Consider the following 8554-nt stretch of genomic DNA (forward strand, 5'->3'; position numbering starts at 1 on the left):
AACCTGATTAGGGGCTGGGCACAGTGGCTCATGCCTGTAATCACAACACTTTGGGAGGCCGAGGTGGGCAGACCACTTGAGGTCAGGAGTTCAAGAACAGCCTGGCCAACAAGGTAAAATCCTGTCTCTGCTAAAAACACAAAAATTATCCAGGTGTGGTGACACATGCCTGTAGTCCAAGTTACTAGGGAGGCTGGGGCAGGATCCCTCGAACCCGGAAGGCGGAGTTTACAGTGAGCCGAGACCATGCCGCTGCACTCCAGCCTGGGGGACAGTGCAACACTCCATCTCAAAATTAAATAAATAAAAAAATAAATAAATATAAAATAAAATAAAATAAAATAAAAATAAATAAAATAATATGATTAGGGTAAATCAAGCATTTCCTTGAATTCTGTGAGCTGTTAAGGCAAATTACCAAACAAGAAGGGAGTTGTGAAACCCCTAATTTGTATCCATGTCAGACAGAAGTGCAGATAATGTGGGGACTTACTACTTATGACTGGTGTCTGAAGTGGGGGCGGTCTTTTCAGGCTAAGCCTGTAACCTGGGGGTTTGCACTAACTCCAACTATTTAGTGTCAAAATTGAATTAAATTATAAGACATTCAGTTGGTGTCTACAAAGAGTTGGATAATTGCTATGTGTAGAAAACCCACACATTTGGTGTGAGAAATACTGAGAGTAGAGGAAAATGAATATTCCTTTTTCCATCTGTGAACACATTAATAAGGTGGCCACTTCCAACTAAGGAGAGAGGCTTCAAGAAACCAAACATGCCAATACCTTGATCTTGGACTTCCTAGCCTCCAGAAGTATGAGAAAATAAATTTCTGTTGTTTAAGCCGCCCAGTCTGTGGTAGTTTATCATGGCAGCCCTAGCAAATTAATGTGTATGCTTAAGCCTTACCTAAAATAACCACACCTAAAAAAGTGCAAGTATTAATCACGGTTCTGTCAATCCAGTGCACAGTTCTGTCAATCCAGTACTATATTAACCACATAATTTTTCTCTTTAATATATTCTGGCAATTATCATTTGCTGATTGCTTCATGTCATTCATATTATTTTCTCAATTATATTATAAACCCATTAAAAACAGTTTAATAATTTTATATCTTCTAGTGATAAGAACTGCCAATAATCATTTAAGATTTGACAAGTACCAAGCTAATTGTAATTGCATCACCTGTATTATGTCACTTAATTCTCCAAAACTTCTTTTTTTATTTTAATTTAACTAATTGTATCTGTATTTTGTAGATGGGAAAAGTGTAGTCAATAGAACTTAAAGAAGTTGCCTATGTTCACACAACTGGTAAAACTGCAGAGCCTGGATTCTTACTCAGTCATACTCCGGAACTCGTCTATAGAGCCTATGCTACTAATTATAATTCCTACCCAAAGCGCAGCACAATAATGACCTAGCATGTGGCAAGTCATATAAAATAGGTGCTTAGAAAATCTTGGGGCTATGAGAAACAATTTCAAATACAAAAATGTAATCTAAAATAATTAGAGTTATGTTTAAAATTAGGATACCTTACTTATAACTTGTGAAATATAGTCAGTATTTCTTCTCAAATTATAATGATTAAAATCTTGTGAATATTTTTAGCTAAAATAAAAAACTAAGAGTGATAACGCATTTTAATAAATATTCTTTCAGAGCTGAGAACCCACTCTATCAACATTAAACAGCGGCAGTTCCTGTAAGTTTTTAAGGGTTATTGGAAGATGACTTTACTTGTCTTCATACAGTTTCACCTAAATTGTGAGTTCCAAAATAGCAAGAGTGTTTTCTATTTCATTTACTATTACTTATCTAAGACCTAAAATAGCACTTGACAGACTGTAGTTACCAGTAGATAATAGTGAAATGCATAATCAATAATTAATATAAATCAATAAATAATATAAATGAATTCTAACTATATCAGCTATTATTAAAGTAAGGGACAAGATGGATAAGAAACACTGAAAATATAGTAAAAAAAAAGCAACTGCTAAGTAAACTGCCTGGTGGGAAACAGAGATAACAGAAAATAACAATAGAAACGTTAAATCACTTTGTTGATATTTGGGTCACATCAAATTAAACGTGCTTCTTAGTTTCAAATTAAATGTCTTCATCTCTGTCCTTCACAATAATTTATAAACATAGACATATATGTATCCAAAAAAATCTCACAAACTTTTCCAGAATACTCATCCCGATTCTCATCTAACTTAATGTACTGCATATTTTACCTGTCTCATATCCGGGCCTGTTTCACAGAATTTAAACACCACAAAGTTATGGATTTTTGTCAATTTTCTTGCCATAGTTCTTGGCTTATAATCTTATGCTTATGAATTGGTAACTTATCTATGAAAGATGAGTTAAGCGAGTATCCCTTATCCAAAATGTTTAGGACCAAAAGTGTTTCAGATTTCAGATTTTTTGGGGGGTGGGGGTGGAATATTTGCATATATGTGATGAAATATCTTGGGGAAGGGGTGCGATTCTAACACAAAATTCATTTATGCTTTATATTCATCTTATACAAATAGCCTGAGGTAACTTTATTACAGATTTTTAATAATTTTGTGCATGAGACAAAGTTTTTGTACCCTGAGCCATCAGAAAGCAAAGACATCATGTGTAGAATTTTCCACTTGTGACATCATGTCAACACTCAAAAAGTTTAAGATTTTGGAGCAGGAATACTCAATCTGCAGCACATTTTTTTACAGTCTTTTCTCTCAAAGAAAGCATGTCAAGGGGGAGGACAGACATAGGCCTATGAATTATATAGTAGGTATTTTCTTGTTGCTATTCTGATGTGTAAAACAGATTATTACCAGTACAAATACCAACTCTCAAAATATTACTTTTATTTATGCACAATTGTTGTCTAAAGGACCACATTCCCAGATGTTTCAGGAAGATAATATTAGAATTTATGTTATTTATTGAGTAATGAATCATGGATTATTTAATAGGGCTCAGAAAAATTCAAAAATTTCATTCAGTAAAAAACAAATCCTAACTAAAATGATACATGATAGTCTTTCAGTGTCCTACAAATTTTTAAAAAGTTTGCATAAAATCAAAAATTTAACTATATAATTAATCCAAATTTTTGCAAACCACATATATATGAAATATCTTTTATGTCTAATATTTGTGTAAAGCTTTATTTGCATAGTCTACATAACAGTTCTCTCATCAGCCTCACTCTATATAAGCATGAGTTAATATAGTACAGTTTTATATCACTATTAGAAATGTATAAAATAATAAGCTACTTTGGATATGGAGATTTTCCAAGGTGACTCTATTTTCTTGAATTATTTCTTTTATTAAATATTAATGATATGTAACATACAGAGTAAAGTCATGATAAGTTAGACAATTCACCTTGTGGCAAACCTTTACTCATTTCAAGATTAATCATCAAAAGCTCAGCAATACATTGAAAATATCTTATCACTAATTTGTAAATAAACACAAACATATCCTGTCAGTTAACAAATGAGCCATCAGTCATAGAAAATGTACTACCTACATCTTTTTGTTTGTTTGGTTTTTACTTCTTACTTTAACTTTCAATATACTATTTTTTCAGTAAAATTTGTACTATAAAATATATAACTTATTTTTACATGGGATCATTTTTGTTACTATTTTTAAGATTCCCCAGAGACTATAGCTATATACTCACATACGCATTTTTCTCTAACCGTGTAACTGAATCCACCTGGTATTTTTTATGAGGTTAAACTCATATGTAAAACTCATACATACATAAAAATGGTTAAACTCATACATACATAAAAATATGTATTTTTCTAAATAGTAATTTTTCCTAGCTTTTGATTTCAATTATTGCTAAAGATTCTTTATATTTTAAATATAAAGGCAAAAATTTTACTAGGGATTATTTCTTGGTTGTCCATTACTATTCTAGTAACATACTCTTTTCTCAACTGGAGGTTATTGTTTATTTTACTATATGTCAAGGTGAGTTCAGAAGGTGGATATTGATTTGAGATAAGGATGCTTTGGTCATATTTATAAACTGAAATATATATGAAGAAAAGAGAAATTTTAGATACATGAGAGAGGATAAATTATATCAAAAAATATTAAATTAGGTTTAAAAATTGTTAGAACAAGGCTGACTCTTCCATTGAGACAAGTTGGAAAAAGGACATAGAGATGGTTTTAAGTGTATATATGTTTACACATGCATATAACAAAAAATTCAGACTTTAAATTTGATTATCTCACTTTCTGTGTAAATCAGGCAAAATAATTGTTGTTAGTTGTAAACAATCAAAATAGCAAGATTTAAAGAAGTATTAAATTGATGTTTTATAGTGATTTGGGCTTTAGAGAAGGAAGTATTATAGTGTTTAGCAAAAAACCAAAATCAATATATAATATTCATTTTTCTCTCTTGGCCTGAACAAAGTTCAAATTTGGTTGCTTATCAGTTGACAATTGCAAAATTGTGCTTTGTCATAGTTAATTCCCTCTGTAATTAGCAAAACGGGCTAGAAAAATCAATATTACTAGAAATGAACATTTATGTCACAATAGTGGAATAGACTCTGTAGAACAATATAACAAGCCACAAGGGAATATTTTGCTCTGGTTTTTTGTGTTCACTAGATAAGTAGAAACTTCAATTCTATATTCAATGGAATCAGAGAAGAAATCATTCCACATATTACCCAATTTAGTTGGAAAATCTTAGAAGGCTTTTTTTTTGGTGTCATATTCTGTGTAAAGAGAGAATCAATTTCTATCTATATTTTTGACAAGGAAATTAAAGATATAACAATGTGCTCTACAGTGTGTAAGGTAGAGACAGAATCTGTACTTGCATTTGGAATTTGTTTTAGATGATGGTGAAGATGATGATAATGATGTTGTCTTTAGTCCTTCAAATCAGTGTGATTTGAGTTACTTTCATTTTACTGGATATTTTTCCAGTTGTTGAACTTAAAGCTTGAGAGTACTATACTAAATCTTGTATTAATACAAGATTAAATCTTGTAGAAGATTAAATATAATCTTCTAAGCTTTAATCTCACCAACAGAAGCAGTTATTTACATGACAATTCAGTTAATATACCTGCAAATATCTATTGATGTTTTTGTCTTTGACTTTTGTTAACTAATCTTAAGAAAAATTTAAATGGTTGATGTGTATATTTTGCTCAGAGCATAGTGAAAAAATTCCTACAACAATTCGGAAGGTATGTATAAGGGATATTGGGATAAACAGGGACGGTGCAGATCTTCGGGGTTATGTTATTTTACTAACATCTAAATTTATTTTAGATACTTAACAAGGAGTTAGAGTGAGGCATTTGAGCTTTATTCATTGAGTACCAGGGAGGGAAAAACTTCAGTTCCGAAGATGTAAAACAGGTGTTGTGCAGTGACTCTTTTATTAGTATATTCTTAGTCTTTCTCTATCTATGTGGTTTAAAACTTCCAGATAGTAATTCTTCCCACATGACTTGCGTCTAATGTCTTGCTGCTGCAGCAGCAGTGAAGCTTAGCAATCTGCCTGTGTTCCTCACTGGTGTTGCTCTCACCATGTCGGCTCTGCTGCCTTCCCTGCCTGACTTTAATTTTTCCTACTTATATGATTCTCCATCTGCTTCCTTTTCTGGCGGCAAAGTGGCCCTGCCTATGTGCTCCTTTGCATTCTGCCATCTTTCTAGTTTTGCTGTTGCTTTAACTATATTTTAAACATGTAGCACAGTTGATTGAAAACTGAAGAAATGTCTAGTGCTTGTTTAGATTTTTTGCAGAGAACAGTTAGTCTTTGCCACCAGCTAAACTGTGCTTTAAACCTAGGTGCAGAATCTTCTTGCAATATGTTTTAAGTAACCAAAATGGAAAATCCAAGCAAACTGTTGCCTGTGTTTAGCCTTGCGATTTAAAGACAGCTGGTAGAGATAAGCACTAACATAAATCTTGTCTGAATTCCCCAAACCCAGTAAATGAATTGTGAATTCTTTATTGCTTTTTCTAGATATTTAAACATAGGTTATTGTGATATAAAGGAAAGCACAATGAATCTGAATTTAGAAAATCTAGGTTCATAGTCTTTACCCACTTATGTGATATATGACCTAGGAGATATAACCTAATCTGTCTATATCTTCCCCCATCTCTACCTTCACTTTGGAGATAAGAACAATGAGGTTGAGAGAAAACATGCAATTTCCTAAAGTTTTCGAAGCAAGAAAGTGTCAGAGATATACATCAAATTAGGTTTTTTTGACTTCGAAACCTATACTCAATCAGGACACAAAGTACTCAAGTCTGTTTTTTCAAAACTTATAGTAATGCTCCTTAAAAGTGATGCTTTTTGCTAGAGTTCACCCATATGTGAACACTTGCATGACTTGTGACCAATTGCTATCTACCATTTATGATGCAATTTCTCTTTAGCCTGTAACTGAATTCATGAGCCTCATTGTTATACTTCCCACCACAAAAAAAATCCTGAATTATTTTTGCCCTGTGACCTTACATTTCTACTTCTTTTCTGAATTTCTTGCTGAACTTATGCCCATTCCAAATCACATGAAATTTATGTGGATCGGTATTTTATCGATTTATTTTACTGTCCCCACAGTTCTTCTGATACACTCACCATGATGTTGTCACTCACTCTCTTGCCAAAATTTCAAATTCACTTGCCCTTTTTTCCTTTCACTACATTACATAACAAAACGCTAAGCCTGGATAATCCAACTATCTACATTGTCTTGCCCACAATTGGCCGGCTGAGCATTTATGATATAATATAAATACTGTAAGAATATTTAACATATATTATTATTTAACATCTATATACTTAATTGAGCATATTTACAACTCTAGATTCTTAACAGTCTTAACTAGACCGTCGATCCCACTGAACAAGTATATTTGCCTGAATGTTTTTATTTTTCACTTTTTGCAAGTGTTAAATCCTCCTAAAGTATCATCAAACCTCCAATAAATCTTATTTCTTTCTCAAAAAATGATTTTATATACTACTTCACAGTAAAAAGCAAAAATAAAAACTAAACAAATAGATGTGAACTATTTCAATATCCAAAAGATATAACACAAATCTATCGATATTTGTATTTTTTGTCTTATCCTTCCTTCTCTTTTCTTCCTGTTAAAATGTAGGAGGATTAATACAGATTATGTAAATTGCCAAAAGTCACACAAATAGTGGAATAGGAATTTGAACTTGACCTTGAGATGGTGAAGTTTGTATGTCAACATGACCGAGCTTAGTATGCTTGGATAGTTGGTAAAACATTATTCCAGGTGTGTTTGTGAGGGTGTTTTTGGAAGAGAGAAATATTTGAATTGATAGATTGAATAAAGAAGATTACCCTCACCAGTGGTGGCAGGCATAATACAATCATTTGAGGGCCTGAATAGTGCAAAATTGCTTCCTACTTGAACTGGGATGTCCATTTTGTCTTGTTTTCAGATGTTGGTGCTGTTGCTTTAGGACCTTCAGACCTGGATGGGGACGTATGATAAGGATCCTGGTTCTCAGGCCTTCTGGTCTGCACTGTAGCTATACCTCCAGCTTTCCTGTGCTGTCAGTTTGGAGACAGCAGGTCATGAGACTTCACTGCATTCATAATTATGTGAGCCAGTTTGTCATGGTAAATATGTATGTATGCATGTATGTATCCATCCATCCATCCTGTTGATTCTGTTTCTCTGGAGAACGCTGATTAAAACACCTCTCTGCCTTCAGAACCCTTTTTCTTTCCTCTGACGTATTAATACTTTGAATTTTATAGAGAGATATTACATGAGCAGATGTGGCAACATTATTGAATATAAAATGGTTAATTTTGCTGCATCACCCAATTTTCTTACTCTGATAAAAACTATAATGTAAGAAATGAGATAATAATTATAAGTGATTATGACAAGTGTAATAATAACATCACTTTTATGGGGAAATAAGGAAAAGCAATAATTTATAATGAAATAAAAACTAATGATCAACATACCTTTGCTGTGGTCAATAATTTAACTTGATGTTTAAGAAAGCCAGTTTTATTTTTTTGAAGCTCCAAAGGATCTACTGCAATGTGATTTATTTCTGAAACACTGTGAAATTAATGAAAATATTATTTGTAGGGAAAAATGAGTTTACTTGCATTTGTAATAGGCTTTGCCAGAAGCAGCAGCTGTGCCTGTGTCAAGAATATTTCATGCTGAAAAATGGAAGGTTGATTTCTGCTGTTTTTCCTTTCTTTCCCCTTATTTTTGTCATTTATCATTTTGATGAAAAAGGGAATAATTTTAATTATTTAATTATAACATGGGGGAAGAATAATAGTGTGCCTAGAAATGCAGCTATGTCCAACTCAGTTTTAATATAATTTAGGTTGATTATCCCAGTCACTTGAGTTTGCCCCAATACTGTTAATTGTAAAAGATCAATCAATCCTAACTATTAAATTCATATGAAAATCAGTTTCTGCTCTTCAGAAAAATGTCAGAATCTTATTAAGGAGG

General features: G+C 32.5%; 1 long non-coding RNA gene across 2 annotated transcripts in view; it reads left to right on the top strand.

Annotated features, from left to right (window-relative positions):
* LINC02429 (long intergenic non-protein coding RNA 2429) overlaps positions 1-8042 on the top strand; it is a 62678-nt gene extending 54636 nt beyond the window's left edge. The window contains exons 2-3 of one of the 2 annotated variants that reach the window (NR_133941.1): positions 1670-1774; positions 7506-8042. This is a non-coding gene — a long non-coding RNA (long intergenic non-protein coding RNA 2429). The remainder of the gene's footprint in view (positions 1-1669; positions 1775-7505) is intronic. The other variant, NR_133942.1, reaches the window with a different exon arrangement.
* Positions 8043-8554: the final 512 nt, after the last annotated feature.

This window comes from Homo sapiens, chromosome 4, assembly GCF_000001405.40.
Source record: "Homo sapiens chromosome 4, GRCh38.p14 Primary Assembly".
Taxonomy (NCBI): domain Eukaryota; kingdom Metazoa; phylum Chordata; class Mammalia; order Primates; family Hominidae; genus Homo; species Homo sapiens.